General features: G+C 39.6%; 1 long non-coding RNA gene across 1 annotated transcript in view; it reads right to left on the reverse strand.

Annotated features, from left to right (window-relative positions):
- Nucleotides 1–18914, reverse strand: part of LINC01249 (long intergenic non-protein coding RNA 1249) — a 28005-nt gene extending 9091 nt beyond the window's left edge. Inside the window, exons 1-3 of the long non-coding RNA NR_034134.1 lie at nt 18858–18914; nt 15205–15265; nt 14005–14221 (exon numbers count right to left, since the gene is read on the reverse strand). This is a non-coding gene — a long non-coding RNA (long intergenic non-protein coding RNA 1249). The remainder of the gene's footprint in view (nt 1–14004; nt 14222–15204; nt 15266–18857) is intronic.
- Nucleotides 18915–20263: the final 1349 nt, after the last annotated feature.

The raw sequence follows: 20263 nt of genomic DNA on the forward strand, positions 1-20263 counted from the left end.
CAATCTACTCGTCTGACAAAGGTCTAATATTGGGAATTTACAAGGAACTTAAACAAATTTAGAAGAAAAAAAACAAACAACCCCATCAAAAAGTGGGCAAAGGATAGAACAGATACTTCTCAAAAGAAGACATTTATCCTGCCAACAAACATGAAGAAAAGCTCAATATCACTGATCATTAGAGAAATGAAAGCAAAACCACAATGAGATAGCATCTAATGCTTGTCAGAATAGCTACTATTAAAAAGTCAAGAAACAACAGATGCTGGCGAGGCTGTGGAGAAATAGTAACGCTTTTACACTGTTGGTGGGAATGTAAATTAGTTCAACCATTGGGGAAGACAGTGTGGTGATTCCTCAAGGATCTAGAACCAGAAACACCATTTGACCCAGCAATCCCATTACTGGGTATATATTCAAAGGAATATAAATTATTATATTATAAAGATACATGTACATGTATATTTATTGCAGCACTATTCACAATAGCAAAGACATGGAACCAACCCAAATGCCCATCAATGATAGACTGAATACAGAAAATGTGGTACATATATACCATGGAATACTATGCAGTCATAAAAAGGAATTAGATCATGTCCTTTGCAGGAACATGTATGAAGCCATTATCTTCAGCAAAGTAACACAGGAACAGAAAACAAAACTTCACATGTTCTCACTCATAAGTGGGAGTTGAACAATGAGAAAACATGGACACAGGGAGGGGAACAACACACACCAGGGCCTGTTGGGGGGTGGGGGACAAGGGGAAGGAAAGCATCAGGACAAATAGCTAATGCATGTGAGGCTAAAAACCTAGGTGACTGGTTGATAGGTGCAGCAAACCACCATGACACACATATACCTATGTAACAAACCTGCATGTTCTGCACATGTTCCCCGGGACTTAAAGTAAAAGAAAAAATAATTAAAACAAACAACAACAAAACAAACAAAAAAACACTTAGGCTTAGCCAGGCCAGTCCCTGGGCTAAGGGATATGATAATCACAGCAACTGGCCAACTGCGTTAAGGGCCAAGGGCTAGCCCCTCTGTCAGGGGTTTTGCATATATTATTTTGAATCTTAGTAAAAATGGTAAAACTTATTATTATTCCCATTTTCCAGATAAGGAACTTTTGACCTAATTAGAGGAAAGTATAATCAAAATTAAACGTCAGGGCCCAAACCCCAAGCTCTTTCCAGGGTTCTGAAATATTAGCAGGCTTGGGCCTGGTAACCAGCAGACACACACGGAACCCACAGGTCCTCACACTTCAGACTGCCAGGTGACTGCAGCTTGGCTGGTCCAGAATGCAGGATAGCAACACTCCCCAGGCACTCACCGTGAAAGCCATCATTCACAGTCACTGCACTTAAGCACATCATGTGCGGTGGCTCCTTCATCCTGAGGGCAGCCCTGTGGGGTAAGTGTTGGCATCCCTATTGTACAGGTGTCTCAGAGAGCTCAAGCAGCTGGGATGATGTCACTCAGGAAAGGCCAGAGTCAAACTCCTCTCTCCCTGGTTCCTTTGTGTGTTCTTGACATCCACACCTTCCTTTTACCCTGAGTTCTTGCTTAAATTCTGGGATCCTGACTCCCAGCTTTACCCTTTATTTCAAATTCTTGGAGAGGCCCTAATCCAAACACTTTGATCATCTGAGTAGAAAGTTGCTCCCCTACTGGAGGTACTGGCTATGCACTGAGGTGGCAAAGTAAATTTTTACAAAATGAGTTATATCATTCTTCAGTCCTAAGAGTACCTCCAGCTAGGAAAGTCTGCATTTTGTGATGAAACATTACATTTTACAAATATCTGGCCCCATATTTGTGGTATTCTTTTTTTTTTAGGATTTACTCAGGTATGAAAAAATAATCACCTTACTTTGGGAAGTGTTAAGAATGCTAAGATTATTTGTATGTTAATGTGTTTTGATCATTGAGAATTCACAAACTTTGAAAGCAAATTTTTCAGAATAATTGAGTCACACTAATGTTTAGAAATAATAATTGGAATTAGTAAAAATTCTGCGGCAAAAACATTCTCTGCTCTAATGGAGTAAAGATAAATGTGGCGAGAAATGTTAATACAGACTCACTTCAGCGATTTCTCCTGTTTTGGTCTTGGTTTTTATCTCCTTCTGAGTGGAATTCTATATTTGGTAATGATTATGTTTCATTTAAACCTTATAAATACAATGCTACATTAAAATATCCTGCTTTACGACAAACATATATGTGACCTATATATTACCTGGTAAATATAAAATATTTTATTTTTTTAAAAAAATGCTGTATTTCAGTATCTAGAAGTTACCACTGTAGAATCTGCCTGTCTAGATAATGTTGGACAGAGGTGAGTTTCTGCTTGTACCTGTTCAGGTGAACTAACCACTGTTGTAAGCGAGGTTTTATTTTATACTTTAGTACTTTCAAATGTTATAAAGCAGCATATATATCAGAGGGCAGAGTCTGGGATATATGAAAATGCAGACTTAGAGAATACAAACCCTACATATTTTATTTCACTCTGGCATTGCCAAGAGGCATTGGGGGCACTGTTTTGTAAACTGGCCCCTCAGAGGTGGCATCCCTAAACATCCTTAGACTTCATTAATTCTAGTAAATCATTGTCAAGAATGATCACCAAACACTATGGCACCTTGTCCTCTTTGAATAAAAGATGACAATGTGGGTAAAAGAATAGAAAAACTCAAAGTAATTATGGTCAATAAACTTCTATGGTGACATATATAGTATTTCATTATTACATCTTCAAAATACATCTTGCATAAAATATTTTTAAAGAAGCTTAAAGCCAATTGTGGCAGAAGAAAATTACCAGTTTATGGACCAGTCAGATCCATTATTATGAACAAGGAAAAGTATTTTTCTTCATTATTACAAGAAAGGTAATGTCTTAAAAATTTAACATCTATGTTTAGAATCTATTATCCTGTCTTTTCATTTAGGGATTTAATATCATGCTACCTCTCAATATTATTTAACAGTTCTATCTATATAGGCTGTGCCTCCTGGAGATTTTTTTTAGCTCTTGAATTACAAGGACAATCTTATACATTGGCTTTTATCTTTCTCACAATATCCAAATATACTGTTGACTCTGCATAAATATTTACTGAATAAATGCCAAACAATTAGAAACACACATGGTGAGAAAGAAATTAACAAAGTAATATTGAGACCATTGTAAAAGTTTTTGTTTCACCACATTCCTTTTCTTGGTGAAAAACTCATCCCAGTGATGACCCATTCCTTAATTGGAACTTCCCTAGAGAAAGATCTAAGATACAAGTTACTACAGCCACATACAAACCACACTTAGAGTAATCATTAAGTCATTAATATGATACTTTAATTCTTCCAGCATTTTATGGTCTTTGTTTAACATTATTCTTAGAGATAGCATGAGCTGGTTCTGGGAAGTTAATTAAGTCAAAATAAGCACTTATTATAAAATATAATTCTCTATCATTTATCTCCGACCCTACCAACTCCTCACCCAAAGAAACATCCTCCTAGTATCTACCTCATGGCACACTCACCAAACTGCATAGCCATTGTCCATCTGCATGCCATGATTACAGCTGCAGAGGACAAGGGCCCAGGGAGTTCATCTTTATACACTTAGAACCTAGATAATGTCAGCTTGCAGCTAATACTCAGAATATCTTATGAATTTATACAGAACACATCATCTCGTGATTATATACTTATTTCTTTTCTAATGATAGCTTTCAACTGAAATACTGCATGTGTTTTTCCAATTGTTATCACTGGGCAGAGTCCGTAAATTTCTCTCCGTTTGTATTTCTGAAACTTTTAAAAATTTAGTCTCGTATCTGATTTTACCCCACCCCCAGTGTAGGCTTCTGCTCTGATCCCTGCAGCTTGGAGTTGGGGAAGGAGGTCTCACTTTAAGATGCCTCCTCATCTTTCCTATAACACTGTCATTAGGAGGAATGGGGGACAGAGATGGGGATGAGATCCTCTTCACATGGCTGACCAGATACTAGGAAGGAAAGAAATCTCGCTACTGCTCTAGTTCTGTCCAGCTTGTGGGTGATGCCTATGTGGCTGTGGCTTCTTTCAGGAAGTTGCCACCTTCAGCTTGGTCCCACCCATCACTGATGACCATTCCAGAATTGAAGGTACTTTCCTTGTTGGCCCCACTCCCCTGGTACACAATCCCATGCTCTCTTCAGAGATGGAGATTGAATTTGCAAGGCCCCATATCTTGCCCCTCTATTAATTCCCATGGTTCTTCTTGTGAAAGAGAAAAAATAGAAATTCTGGAATCCCTTCAGCACTCTCTAAAGGCTGCAGGGGTGAGTGGAGAGAGGGTCATCCCGTCTTTGCTCAGAAACACTGGGTGATGGTCTTGCTGCATGAGCTCCTGCAGAGGCCTCCCACCTCAGCCATCTCCCACGGACAAGTGGAAAGCTGTCTCCATACTTCTATCTCCTCTCTCTTCAGCGGACACGTGCTCATCTCTGCTAAGGGGTCTTACTCCACTTTCTTCACTGGCTGCCTTTTCCTCAATCATTCGGAAGCTTTGCTGTCAGATTTATACTCATGTGGCTTCAGAGGGGGGAAGAGTTCTCGCTTTCCCACACAGGGAACTGCACTTTGCATAAGGTTGGTGTTCACAGATGCCTCCCTCCCACTGCTGTCCTAGAGACGACACACTGGATCGGGTCTGGGGGAGACACAGCTCAGCTCTGTGTGGGGAGGAGATACATGAACTTGAAATTTCGCAGATCCATGGTGGCACTCCTAAACATTTGGAGTTACTTTTTTTCCCCTTTCTTTTTGTATCTTTAGTCACAACACATGGACCACAAGAAAACTCCCCCTCAACATCTTGGTAAAGGCTGAATGGATAAGTGAATGAATAAATATACAGCCAGACTTTATTCCTAATGTAACTTATCTGTATTGCATTTGTCTTTTGCTCAAGTTAAACTAAGTTTTCTGAAACATAATATTTCAGAAGATCCCTGATTTAAACTAGACACTAGACCTCATGTCATAAGAGAACTACATGCTTTCTCCTCAAATATGGAAGACATCTCTTTAGTGTGTGCCATATCTCCCCCAAAAGATTGTAAGCTGTGAAAAATAGGACCCACATTCTATTTTTCTCTTCCACTTCTTCTCACTGCTAGGAATACAGCTGAATGTATAGCTTTCTCCATGTGTATTTTGAGAATAAATGCAGGGATGTTGAACAGTTTATTAGATTCCCTTTGTTAATTCAATTCAATTCAATTTGATTCAATTCAATTCAATTCAATTCAATGCCTTTGTGCTGTTTCTAAGGACTCGAACTTATATTCATTTTTATAGATAATGATGTAAAAATGACATACTCTAAAATCATGTATAGGATTAAGACCAAGTCATATGTATCCTGCTTAAAAAATTATATTTGAATTTCATACTACAGATTATTTACATATTAAATTATCTTAGCAATCTAGTCGTAAGGTAATAGATTGCTTATCACAATTATCTTACATTTGTACTAGAGTGAATCAAGTTATGCAACAATGTAAAAAACACCTTAGCATTCATCAGGCCCCTTTACCTTAGCTTTGCATTGCTACCAGATTCCTGATAGAAGCTACATCATTTCTGGTGGAGGAGCCAAGATGGCCGAATAGGAACAGCTCCGGTCTACAGCTCCCAGCGTGAGCGACGCAGAAGACGGGTGATTTCTGCATTTCCATCTGAGGTACCGGGTTCATCTCACTAGGGAGTGCCAGACAGTGGGCGCAGGTCAGTGGGTGCGCGCACCAGGGGCGAGCCGAAGCAGGGTGAGGCATTGCCTCACTTGGGAAGCGCAAGGGGTCAGGGAGTTCCCTTTCCGAGTCAAAGAAAGGGGTGACGGAGGCACCTGGAAAATCGAGTCACTCCCACCCGAATATTGCGCTTTTCCGACGGGCTTAAAAAACGGCGCACCGCGAGACTATATCCCGCACCTGGCTCGGAGGGTCCCACGCCCACGGAGTCTTGCTGATTGCCAGCACAGCAGTCTGAGATCAAACTGCAAGGCGGCAGCGAGGCTGGGGGAGGGGCGCCCGCCATTGCCCAGGCTTGCTGAGGTAAACAAAGCAGCTGGGAAGCTCCAACTGGGTGGAGCCCACCACAGCTCAAGGAGGCCTGCCTGCCTCTGTAGGCTCCACCTCTGGGGGCAGGGCACAGACAAACAAAAAGACAGCAGTAACCTCTGCAGACTTAAATGTCCCTGTCTGACAGCTTTGAAGAGAGCAGTGGTTCTCCCAGCACGCAGCTGGAGATCTGAGAACGGGCAGACTGCCTCCTCAAGTGGGTCCCTGACCCCTGACCCCCGAGCAGCCTGACTGGGAGGTACCCCCCAGCAGGGGCACACTGACACCTCACACAGCAGGGTATTCCAACAGACCTGCAGCTGAGGGTCCTCTCTGTTAGAAGGAAAACTAACAAACAGAAAGGACATCCACACCAAAAATCCATCTGTACATCACCATCATCAAAGACCAAAAGTAGATAAAACCACAAAGATGGGGAAAAAACAGAACAGAAAAACTGGAAACTCTAAAAAGCAGAGCGCCTCTCCTCCTCCAAAGGAACGCAGTTCCTCACCAGCAACGGAACAAAGCTGGATGGAGAATGACTTTGACGAGCTGAGAGAAGAAGGCTTCAGACGATCAAATTACTCCGAGCTACGGGAGGACATTCAAACCAAAGGCAAAGAAGTTGAAAACTTTGAAAAAAATTTAGAAGAATGTATAACTAGAATAACCAATACAGAGAAGTGCTTAAAGGAGCTGATGGAGCTGAAAACCAAGGCTCGAGAACTACATGAAGAATGCAGAAGCCTCAGGAGCCGATGCGATCAACTGGAAGAAAGGGTATCAGCGATGGAAGATGAAATAAATGAAATGAAGTGAGAAGGGAAGTTTAGAGAAAAAAGAATAAAAAGAAATGAGCAAAGCCTCCAAGAAATATGGGACTATGTGAAAAGACCAAATCTACGTCTGATTGGTGTACCTGAAAGTGATGGGGAGAATGGAACCAAGTTGGAAAACACTCTGCAGGATATTATCCAGGAGAACTTCCTCAATCTAGCAAGGCAGGCCAACGTTCAGATTCAGGAAATACAGAGAACGCCACAAAGATACTCCTCGAGAAGAGCAACTCCAAGACACATAATTGTCAGATTCACCAAAGTTGAAATGAAGGAAAAAATGTTAAGGGCAGCCAGAGAGAAAGGTCGGGTTACCCTCAAAGGGAAGCCCATCAGACTAACAGTGGATCTCTTGGCAGAAACCCTACAAGCCAGAAGAGAGTGGGGGTCAATATTCAACATTCTTAAAGAAAAGAATTTTCAACCCAGAATTTCATATCCAGCCAAACTAAGCTTCGTAAGTGAAGGAGAAATAAAATACTTTACAGACAAGCAAATGCTGAGAGATTTTGTCACCATCAGGCCTGCCTTACAAGAGCTCCTGAAGGAAGCACTAAACATGGAAAGGAACAACCGGTACCAGCCACTGCAAAATCATGCCAAAATGTAAAGACCATCAAGACTAGGAAGAAACTGCATCAACTAACGAGCAAAATCACCAGCTAACATCATAATGACAGGATCAAATTCACACATAACAATATTAACCTTAAATGTAAATGGACTAAATGCTCCAATTAAAAGACACAGACTGGCAAATTGGATAAAGAGTCAATACCCATCAGTGTGCTGTATTCAGGAAACCCATCTCACGTGCAGAGACACACATCGGCTCAAAATAAAAGGATGGAGGAAGATCTGCCAAGCCAATGGAAAACAAAAAAAGGCAGGGGTTGCAATCCTAGTCTCTGATAAAACAGACTTTAAACCAACAAAGATCAAAAGAGACAAAGAAGGCCATTACATAATGGTAAAGGGATCAATTCAACAAGAAGAGCTAACTATCCTAAATGTATATGCACCCAATACAGGAGCACCCAGATTCATAAAGCAAGTCCTGAGTGACCTACAAAGAGACTTAGACTCCCACGCATTAATAATGGGAGACTTTAACACCCCACTGTCAACATTAGACAGATCAATGAGACAGAAAGTCAACAAGGATACCCAGGAATTGAACTCAGCTCTGCACCAAGCGGACCTAATAGACATCTACAGAACTCTCCACCCCAAATCAACAGCATATACATTTTTTTTAGCACCACACCACATCTATTCCAAAATTGACCACATACTGGGAAGTAAAGCTCTCCTCAGCAAATGTAAAAGAACAGAAATTATAACAAACTGTCTCTCAGACCACAGTGCAATCAAACTAGAACTCAGGATTAAGAATCTCACTCAAAACCGCTCAACTACATGGAAACTGAACAACCTGCTCCTGAATGACTACTGGGTACATAACGAAATGAAGGCAGAAATAAAGATGTTCTTTGAAACCAATGAGAACAAAGACACAACATACCAGAATCTCTGGGACGCATTCAAAGCAGTGTGTAGAGGGAAATTTATAGCACTAAATGCCCACAAGAGAAAGCAGGAAAGATCCAAAATTGACACCCTAACATCACAATTAAAAGAACTAGAAAAGCAAGAGTAAACACATTCAAAAGCTAGCAGAAGGCAAGAAATAACTAAAATCAGACCAGAACTGAAGGAAATAGAGACACAAAAAACCCTTCAAAAAATTAATGAATCCAGGAGCTGGTTTTTTGAAAGGATCAACAAAATTGATAGACCGCTAGCAAGACTAATAAAGAAAAAAGAGAAGAATCAAATCGATGCAATAAAAAATGATAAAGGGGATATCACCACCGATCCCACAGAAATAAAAACTACCATCAGAGAATACTACAAACACCTCTACGCAAATAAACTGGAAAATCTAGAAGAAATGGATAAATTCCTGGACAAATATACTCTCCCAAGACTAAACCAGGAAGAAGTTGAATCTCTGAATAGACCAATAACAGGAGCTGAAATTGTGGCAATAATCAATAGCTTACCAACCAAAAAGAGTCCAGGACCAGATGGATTCACAGCCGAATTCTACCAGAGGTACAAGGAGGAACTGGTACCGTTCCTTCTGAAACTATTCCAATCAATAGAAAAAGAGGGAATCCTCCCTAACTCATTTTATGAGGCCAGCATCATTCTGATACCAAAGCCGGGCAGAGACAACCAAAAAAGAGAATTTTAGACCAATATCCTTGATGAACATTGATGCAAAAATCCTCAATAAAATATTGGCAAAACGAATCCAGCAGCACATCAAAAAGCTTATCCACCATGATCAAGTGGGCTTCATCCCTGGGATACAAGGCTGGTTCAATCTACGCAAACCAATAAATGTAATCCAGCATATAAACAGAGCCAAAGACAAAAACCACATGATTATCTCAATAGATGCAGAAAAGGCCTTTGACAAAATTCAACAACCCTTCATGCTAAAATCTCTCAATAAATTAGGTATTGATGGGATGTATTTCAAAATAATAAGAGCTATCTATGACAAACCCACAGCCAATATCATACTGAATGGGCAAAAACTGGAAGCATTACCTTGAAAACTGGCACAAGACAGGGATGCCCTCTCTCACCACTCCTATTCAATATAGTGTTGGAAGTTCTGGCCAGAGCAATCAGGCAGGAGAAGGAAATAAAGGGTATTCAATTAGGAAAAGAGGAAGTCAAATTGTCCCTGTTTGCAGACGACATGATTGTATATCTAGAAAACCCCATCGTCTCAGCCCAAAATCTCCTTAAGCTGATAAGCAACTTCAGCAAAGTCTCAGGATACAAAATCAATGTACAAAAATCACAAGCATTCTTATACACCAACAACAGACAAACAGAGAGTCAAATCATGAGTGAACTCCCATTCACAATTGCTTCAAAGAGAATAAAATACCTAGGAATCCAACTTACAAGGGATGTGAAGGACCTCTTCAAGGAGAACTACAAACCACTGCTCAAGGAAATAAAAGAGGATACAAACAAATGGAAGAACATTCCATGCTCATGGGTAGGAAGAATCAATATCGTGAAAATGGCCATGCCATCCCCATCAAGCTACCAATGACTTTCTTCACAGAATTGGAAAAAACTACTTTAAAGTTCATATGGAACCAAAAAAGAGCCCGCATCGCCAAGTGAATCCTAAGCCAAAAGAACAAAGCTGGAGGCATCACACTACCTGACTTCAAACTATACTACAAGGCTACAGTAACCAAAACAGCATGGTACTGGTACCAAAACAGAGATATAGATCAATGGAACAGAACAGAGCCCTCAGAAATAACGCTGCATATCTACAACTATCTGATCTTTGACAAACCTGAGAAAAACAAGCCATGGGGAAAGGATTCCCTATTTAATAAATGGTGCTGGGAAAACTGGCTAGCCATATGTAGAAAGCTGAAACTGGATCCCTTCCTTACACCTTATACGAAAATCAATTCAAGATGGATTAAAGACTTAAACGTTAGACCTAAAACCATAAAAACCCTAGAAGAAAACCTAGGCATTACCATTCAGGACATAGGCATGGGCAAGGACTTCATGTCTAAAACACCAAAAGCAATGGCAAGAAAAGACAAAATTGACAAATGGGATCTAATTAAACTAAAGAGCTTCTGCACAGCAAAAGAAACTACCATCAGAGTGAACAGGCAACCTACAAAATGGGAGAAAATTTTCACAACCTACTCATCTGACAAAGGGCTAATATCCAGAATCTACAATGAACTCAAACAAATTTACAAGAAAAAAACAAACAACCCCATCAAAAAGTGGGCAAAGGACATGAACAGACACTTCTCAAAAGAAGACATTTATGCAGCCAAAAAACACATGAAAAAATGCTCATCGTCACTGGCCATCAGAGAAATGCAAATCAAAACCACAATGAGATACCATCTCACACCAGTTAGAATGGCAATCATTAAAAAGTCAGGAAACAACAGGTGCTGGAGAGGATGTGGAGAAATAGGAACAGTTTTACACTGTTGGTGGGACTGTAAACTAGTTCAACCATTGTGGAAGTCAGTGTGGCGATTCCTCAGGGATCTAGAACTAGAAATACCATTTGACTCAGCCGTCCCATTACTGGGTATATACCCAAAGGACTATAAATCATGCTGCTATATAGACACATGCACACATATGTTTATTGCGGCATTATTCACAATAGCAAAGACTTGGAACCAACCCAAATGTCCAACAATGATAGACTGGATTAAGAAAATGTGGCACATATACACCATGGAATACTATGCAGCCATAAAAAATGATGAGTTCATGTCCTTTGTAGGGACATGGCTGAAATTGGAAATCATCATTCTCAGTAAACTATCGCAAGAACAAAAAACCAAACACCGCGTATTCTCACTCATAGGTGGGAATTGAGCAATGAGATCACATGGACACAGGAAGGGGAATATCACACTCTGGGGACTGTTGTGGGGTGGGGGGAGGGGGGAAGGATAGCATCGGGAGATATACCTAATGCTAGATGACGAGTTAGTGGGTGCAGCGCACCAGCATGGCACATGTATACATATGTAACTAACCTGCACATTGTGCACATATACCCTAAAACTTAAAGTATAATTAAAAAAAAAAAGAAGCTACATCATTTCTATTTTTGTAACTCCCATTGGCTAACACACAATAAGCAATCAATCAATAAATATTGCTAAAATTTAATAGAACAAAGGAAGTAGTTTGGGTACCATTACGTACCACCATACAGATTTAACAAACTATGAACAGAATAAATAAAAGCAATAAAATCCAGCTTCAATTCAAAATGTTGCTCTTCTTCCCAAGAGAACAAACATCTATTTCATCTGTTTAATCTCAGGGACATGACACTTACTGTATACACAGAATTGTGATAGGATCTCTAGTGAGACAGCTATGTTCCTAAGAACAAGAACATGGCTAAAATGAGGGTAGACTGGAGAGGAAGTGGTGATAGGTTTCCAGTAGGAACTCAGATAAAAGAGTGACAGTCAGAACTTCAGAAAAGTGACCTAAAATGTACCGTCACAGAGAAGGTGGTGCCAGTTCAGTATTGGAATACCACTTCTGCTCTGTTCTGCATAAAATTATTATAATGGTCTATGGTGTGTAATAGAGGTATTCTTATAAATGAAGAATAAATACTGGTTAATACTGCATTTGAATACAAGGAACAGAAACCCAAATTAATGTGACTTATAAACAAATGTGTCTACTTCTCACAAAGCGAGAATTCCGGGGATGTGCCTGCAGCTACCAGCTTTGGAATTTCAAAACAGATGGCTTTGCAGCTCTCTTGTCCTTTCCATCACCGTTGCAAGATAGGGCAGCCTATATTGATGTCATGTTGTTAATTAATATTCACAGTAGGAAGTAGGAGGAATGGGGAAAGAGGTTGGAGGTGATTTGCCTAATTTTTGTTGATTTAGTCAGCAAACCAATGTTTTGTAGCCCTATCACCATCATTACCACCAGTACCTCCCTCAGTGGATGCCTCGGGAATGTGTACTTAGCTTGGCAGGAGCTCTGTTTGGGTATCAGAAACAAGGGGATTGGGAATGGATGTTGGGGCAGCCAACCACGGAGTCTTCAACTGGACTCAAATAAGGTTTTCCTTGCTAAGCCACTCTGGGGGTCGACTTGGGCACATGGTTCAGTTTGATTCTTAGAAAAGAAAATGACAGTCAGTGTTATTCATTGATTATAATCTTAGTTTTGCAAAATTCTACTTACCTAAAGAGGTACTAGACTATTACTCCCAAATACACTAATGCTGTAAGTTATGTAAACACATTTTAAATATGATGAATAGATGTTCAGGAAATGTATAGTAGCATGTTATACTACAAAGAATGTAAAAGCCCAGAGAAAAAGAATTTTATACTAAATCTTATAAAGTCCTTCAATCTTCATGCATCTCATGAATGTGCTCCCCAGTGGGTCTCCTTTCTCTGTGATTCTGCACAAGCTACTCCCTCGGCCAGGAGTTCCCTGCTTCCTCTTTCCTATTCAAAGAAAGTTATTCTTCATAGGAATCACAGAATATCTTGTGATACACTTGTTTTATTTATTATTGCTGAAAACATCATATTCTACTGAATTTAGTATACTTTCCTCTCTTCTGAATAGGTAGAGACTAACTTCAATTCATAATCAAATCCTCAGAACCATGCAAATTACTCAGTGCACAGAGGAATCTATGGTTATTTGGGTCAATGCAGGAATGAATGAGTGATGAATGAAAGAGCAAATTAAAGTAAAACTAAACATGTGCTCATTGAAATCTGCTGCTGCAAGTTGGTCAAGAAGAACTGATCCCATAGGGCTCACACACATGTGAGAATGCTCTTACAGGAACTAGGAGTGACTGATGAGTAGACGTTTGTGTGCAGGCATATGGCCATTGTTTGTCAGTTACCTTTCGGATTAGAATCCCACACAAGCCTTCCTGAGATCCTTCATTAGAAAATATACAGAAAACATACATACTACTTTTGGTGTATTACTGTATAAAAATAGACATTTATTTAATGGTGTGTGCTTCTCTTCTATTTATCTTACAGATGTAATTTGCAGTGAATAATAACCTGGATATAGAACAGGAGGAAGCATCTCCGAAGGCAGAGGCAGACAGGCAGTTTGGACAGGACGTGCAAATTGTTCCTTACACCACACCAAACTGCAAACTGCAATGCTTTTTTTTTTTTTTTTTTTTTAAGACAGAGTCTCACTGTGTTGCCCAGGCTGGAATGTAGTGGCACAATCTTGACTCACTGCAACCCCTGCCTCCTGGGTTCAAGAGATTCTCATGCTTCAGCCTCCCAAGTAGCTGGAATTACAAGCGTCTGCCACCACGCTGGGATAATTTTGGTATTTTTAATAGAGACAGGATTTCATCATGTTGGCCAGGCTGGTCTCGAACTCCTGACTTCAGATGATCCACCTACCTTGGCCTCCCAAAGAGCTGGGATTACAGGCGTGATCCACTGTGCCCAGACTACGGCAATGCATTTTTGGTGCAGGTCACCCTCGAGTGCTTTTTGGTGTGAGCAGCACATGGACAAAGCTGCCGAAGGGCAGGAGTCCCTGGGTTTCTCTTGGGGGCCGGTTGCTCTCGGAAGTTCCTCTCCTTCACTCTCTAAATAGCTGGTTTGTCCAACATTCCTGTTTGAAAAACATCCAGTGAACTATGACTTTGAACAAGAAACATTACACTTCAGTCCCATCAGTCTAAGAAGTAGTGAAGAATTAAATCTTTCCACCTACAGGGTATGTGAGGTGGTCAGGAAGATAATGAGGATAATTCTCAAACAACTTTTCTGCCTTCGAATTGCCCGAGGAAGTCATTTTTTCTCATTTCTGCCTCTTTCTAGTTTTTTTCTCATGAGATAAGTGTGACAAGATGGACTCATGAATAGGAGAAGCTGAGAGTCATTTATTGCCTCAAGTCTCTGGACTGTTTTAAGAAATGAGAAACCAACTTCACTTAAAAACTAATACAAGTCTAAACATTCTCAGATCTTTTTAGTAACTATGTAAATTTTAAGTCGATTGGTTTATGTACTGGACTGACTCATTTTTTAAGGGGGAGGAAAAGGTTCAGGTGCAGAAGTCCTGGCTTCTACCATGCCAATGGGGACTAGCACCAGCAGTAAATAAGGGAGTGTTATGTGACCTAATGCCAGCAGGTAACCTTCATTTGCTGTTGCTAGACTATTTAACATATTCTAATTTATATCTGTAATTTACTTCGGCTTCGCTCTAGAGAGTTTTTGGCTCCTCATTAGTCCTGGAGTGACTGAAGCAATATACATGTTCCCTGAAGAAGGGTCCTACCTAGTTCTTTTCCATCACTCTATCTCCTTGGCTATCTTCTGTCTACAGTACCCTGTTTCTGTGGCTCCTTTACAAACTTTCTCTTAAGTTAAAATCTCCTATGTACTTAAACACAATTACCACATCCCTCCCTTCCATCCAGAAATTGCTTTATGAACTAATGAGCACACTAAAAATTGCAGGCAAATGACTAGCTATAGGAAGCAGCTCAAAATATTTTAATTATTCTTGGTTATAATAAAATCAACATTCATTGACACCTTACTTGTTTCCAACCATCAGATATTTGTTATCTCATTTTATTTTCACACCTGAATGAAGTAGGGCACATATTCCACACTCCATAGATGGAAAAGATGAGGCAGTTGCTACCTGGAAAATGAAAGGATTGGATTTTATTTTCTATCAGTACCCAAGGGATTTCTAATCCAAGATCAAATTCTAAATATAGAAATTTACAAAATAAATCTTCTGCTAGAATATATAATTCTAAATATAAAATACTGTGGAATGTTGGAGCTTGACATCTTACCTGTCTCCTAACTAAAAGAAAAAAAATGTAGAAGAAACAAGAGAGAAAATATAGGGATAAGTGGTTCGCCCACAGCCAGTTAGGTAGAAACCAGAGTCTAAATTCTGAGCTGCTCATCTCTCAGATTTTTTGCAACTGAAGAGTCTGGAAATTTTATGGCCAATTTCATTCATCTTCTGAATGTATCTTTAGCTTTATGGTTGGTCTGAGGAGCAGTCTCTTTGGGTAATTCGTACCTGGGCCAGGGTGCAGAAGTTCAGGGCTGCTGTGCCCCTCGTGAATGAACCTCACACAGCTGAAGCTTAAAATCCTGAAGAGAGAGCTCCCGTGAGTCCTGCCTCTGTCTTTCTCACTCATCCCCTTTGCTGGCCTTGAAACAGATTTAAAGAGCCCTTATGTTGACTGAAATAGGATAGGAAACGGCCAGCCACTTGACCTGAGAAAGAATACCACACTAATAGAAGCTGACTCCTCTGCACAAACATTATTTCTCTATGTGATATGGTTTAGCAGAGTTTGTCTCCAGTGTCTAAATGGACCCTGAATGTAATGCTGGTGTGTGTGTGTGTGTGTGTATGTGTGTGTGTGTATGTGTGTTGGGGGTGGGGTCAAGGGAAGAGAGAGAAAAAAAAAGTTTCTGTATTCCTGTTCTCTGGATGGATTTTTTAAAATTTGCTCTTTGGGAATGAGGAAAAACAATCCCACAACAGTAATACTCCTTGGGCTCCATAACTATAAATGCAAAGGATTTCACCAGTGTCTTTATTAGTCATTATTCCCCGCTGTGACAAAACCTCTCTGTCTACCTCCAGCAGAAAACGCATTTATCAAAGGCTGTTAAAAGGCATTAGGTGTACAGATTTGTTGCCTCTAGGTTCAGCCTTGGAAGCCCAAATGCTCTCTCCTCAGCCTCCACTCCCACCCCAATGGCCTCATTGCTGTGGCTGAAAGCTAAAAGCCAGGGCTCTACCTGGCTGCAGCCACACCACCAGTGTCTACGCCACCTCTGCACCAGAAACTTAAAATCACAACCTACTGGCAATCCACCTTGCCCCAGCCCTGCCACTATTTCTGGATACTCCCAAGTTTGTCCCAACAGAAGAGGCGGAAACTTCCCCAAATGGTTCTCACAGCTGGCTGAGCATGGGAATCACCCATCCAGTTCTCTAGCCGGGGGTCCTGTCTCCTCAGGGTCTCTGATCATTAGTCAGATTTGGAACCACTGCACAGGTGCTACCCTTGAGGTTCCTTGCAGCGATGAAAATCATCTGGGCTGCCAGAAAACCAGGAGCTAACACCGATCTCCAATTCCATGGCTCCTGTGAAGCATGGCTCATATTAGCATTCATTTTTAAGGTAAAGGAGCTGTGAAACAGTTCAGTTGGAAAAAAGACCCATGTAGCAATCACTGCAGAGCCCCTGCTGCTCTACTTCCTGCAAAGCTGAACATGCATGCTTAAAAAACAGGAAGGACTGGTCAGGCATGAAGACACTGCAGAAATCTGAGCAACACAGAAACAGGTTCTGACTTCTGCCCAGAGAACCTACACTCCAGAATGTCTTTATTTGGCTGTATGTGTAAATTGAACCCATCATTGAGAGTCTAAATGTTTTAAAAGAAAGTAAGATGGGAAAAGGAAAATTACTTGATTCTTCAGTGCAATTATTTTAAATTTAGTAATTCCCATTCAGGCAAACATTCTGCATGCCCAGGTGAAAGATGTGTGTGTCTGTCCGATCCCTCACTTGTTCATCTTTCTATACGAAACCGGACATTTGTATGTACTCATGATGAACAAAATACAAGTTTTACAGTAGTTTAATATAAGGAAGCTTTGACAAAAATAATTATGTTGATGCTGGCATTATTTATACTTTCCTTCTTCCCTGTCCCCCGACAATTGTCTAAATGGTGAAAGCTAAAAGTAAGGAGATTTAGAAAATACAAAAACCATTAGAGATAATGACACAAACAAGCGAGAAAGAGAGAAAAATGTCACATCAAATCTTTTCACCTAAAATCAAGACAAGTAACATTTAGACAAATATCTTATTTTTAATTATATATGAGCAAATATGTGTGTCATAAAGTGCTATATACATTGCTGTATTAACATTGTATTATAGTTATTTTCCACACCATTAAGTATTTTTTAATCGACAACATTTTAGGCAATTGCACTATTCGTTTATATGGATATACCATTGTTACTTTATCGAGACATATGGGTCACAGCTTGTGGGGGTTTCCTGTTTGGGCTGGTAAGCTTCTTATGTCTAAGTACTTGCACAAGAATCATGACTTTAACAAATAGACTTACTGAAGCTAAAATCAGGAGGTTTTAAAAATTCCTGCTAATTATTAACAAATGAGAGTCAGAGGAAGATGCAGTAATACATATCCAGTAGAAACAGCTATAGCCCAAATGCTTGCGGGCCGTCATCACTACCATCTCACTCAATTAAAACTAAAGAAGAAAACCTGTAACTTTGCATCAGTTAGTACTGATGTAATCCTAGCATTGGTACATCTTTTATGCTTATTACAAAATACTATGAACTTGCTTATTAGTCATCTATGAATATCATTTTGTCATTGTATTGTATTTTATTGATCTTATCTTTACATTCATTGTATGTTATTTATAATTTTGATCTATTTACCAATTAATTTATCAGTCACAGTTGCAGCAATACATTCGAGTGTTCATTTAGAAATCTAAATGTCTCCTTTGCTGCTACTATAACATGATATCATCTCTTGATTTTAGGCTTAGAAAATCTCACCCTGCTCACACACATTTAAAAGAAAAACATGAAATATTGCGCGCACACACATTTCAAAAGCACAATATTAAAACAAGCGTCCTATGTGCTCTACACAGCTGAGGAAACGGAATCATATTAGTAGTATCGACCAATCACATCCATCATTCTGCTCCAACAGCTAAACCATTATAATCAATTTTCTGCTTAGGATTCTCTTAATATTAGCTTCGGTTGTAAAATATATGCATAATTCTCTAGACAATATGTTGGTTTATTTTGCTCATTTAAAACATTTATGTATATGAATCCTCTTCAGTTTTTCATGCCTTTGTTTTCCAAATATGATACATTTTAGTTTCACTTATGTTTATGTATATGGTTGTGGTTTTTACATTTTCATTGCTATATACGTCATTTTACATATGTATAGCGCAGTTTAATTATATATTCTAATGTTGAGGAATACTTTATTCTTTTCAATATGTTTCTATTATAAAACATGTTGCTATAAACACTGTATCAACCAGGAGAGAAACATTGCCAGTAGTGTGAACATTTCATGTGAAGAATTGTTAACTAGTAAGACCTACTCTTAACTACTATAAGGAATGAAAGAGCGTGCTAAGGAGTACAAAAGTAGCAAACACAGAAAGCAGCAACTACCTCAGAGGACGAGGAACAAGGAAGAACCAGGCTGAGACCCCCGCCTCTTTGGAGAAGGCTTTACTGCGCAGGAGCAGTACCTGCTGGGAGAAGGGACTTGCTGGAAGACGTGGGTAGAGCCGGTCCATTGGTCCAGTGCACCAAGAAGTCAAGAAGTTTTCAGGGGCTCAGGATGCAGCTGGCCCATCAGAGTCACAGAGATTAATGCTACTGAGCCTCTTGCACACCAACTTGCTGGCTGCCATGCTACAAGCAGCACAAAAGCACCAAAAAAAGGGAGCACCTCTCCCCTGCGACTGTTTTACAGTGCCCCACCTAGCTCTGTCTAGAGACAGAGCCTCACTTTGAGACAGCAGCTAGAGAACTGTTCACAGGGCCCATCTCCATATCACAAAGCAGGGTCAAGAATGGCGGTCTCAGAGCTGGGTGGCAATAACTCATAACAGACGCAAATCTCTTCATGTTAATCTAGTGCTCCTAAACAGGAGGTTCCAGGACACATGCCTGGGAGAAGAGGTACTTGGTCAAAGCATGTGTGCATGTCATCATTTTTAAGAAATGCTAAATTACTGTCCAAAATTATTTTACCATTTTATATTACCATATGTGAAATGCTAAATCACTGTGGCTTTAATTTTCATGTTTATGATGACTAAGGTCCCGTTTATTTTCATGTTTTTATGGACATTTCTATTTTCCCTTCTGTACAATGATGGCTTATGTTTTTTGCTCATTTTCCTAATGTGTGTGTGTGTGTGCACGCGTGTGCACGTTTGTCCTTTTTAATTGGTTTTATCAGTTTTTTATGTAACATGTTTATATATTATGAACTCTTTTGGGTTATATGTTTTGCAAATATCTTCTCCCAGTGGTTAATGTCTTCATGGTGCCTTTTGTTTAATATAATTTATTAATTTTATGTAAACCAAGTTAACAATATTTGTTTTCCTTTTAGTTTGGGCATCACAGACTTGTTTATGAACTCCTTTATTTGGGAAACTAAATATTCTGCCACTTTTTCCTACCATTTTTTAAATTTTTGACTTTGCATTCAAATCTGTAATCCATGTGGGTTTAATTTTTTTGGGAGATAGGTACATAGAATAAGTATATATTTTACTTTACAAAATAAATATGAATTAGTTGCTCTAGCACCATTTATTGAAGACGGTTTTGTACTGGCTTATGTACAATAAAACTAGTTTTTTCATAAATACAGGTTTTTATTATTTTAGGGCCATTTATTCTGTTTCTTTCTGTTCTGATCTATTTATATCAGTCAGTACCAGCCTATACCATCCTAAATATTGTAGATTTATATTAACTAATAATGTCAGGAAGAATGATTCTCTCCATCTGCTCCTTTCTCAACAATATACTGGCAATTTTTGAAATTCTATATAATT

Source organism: Homo sapiens, chromosome 2 (genome assembly GCF_000001405.40).
Source record: "Homo sapiens chromosome 2, GRCh38.p14 Primary Assembly".
Classification (NCBI taxonomy): Eukaryota; Metazoa; Chordata; class Mammalia; order Primates; family Hominidae; genus Homo; species Homo sapiens.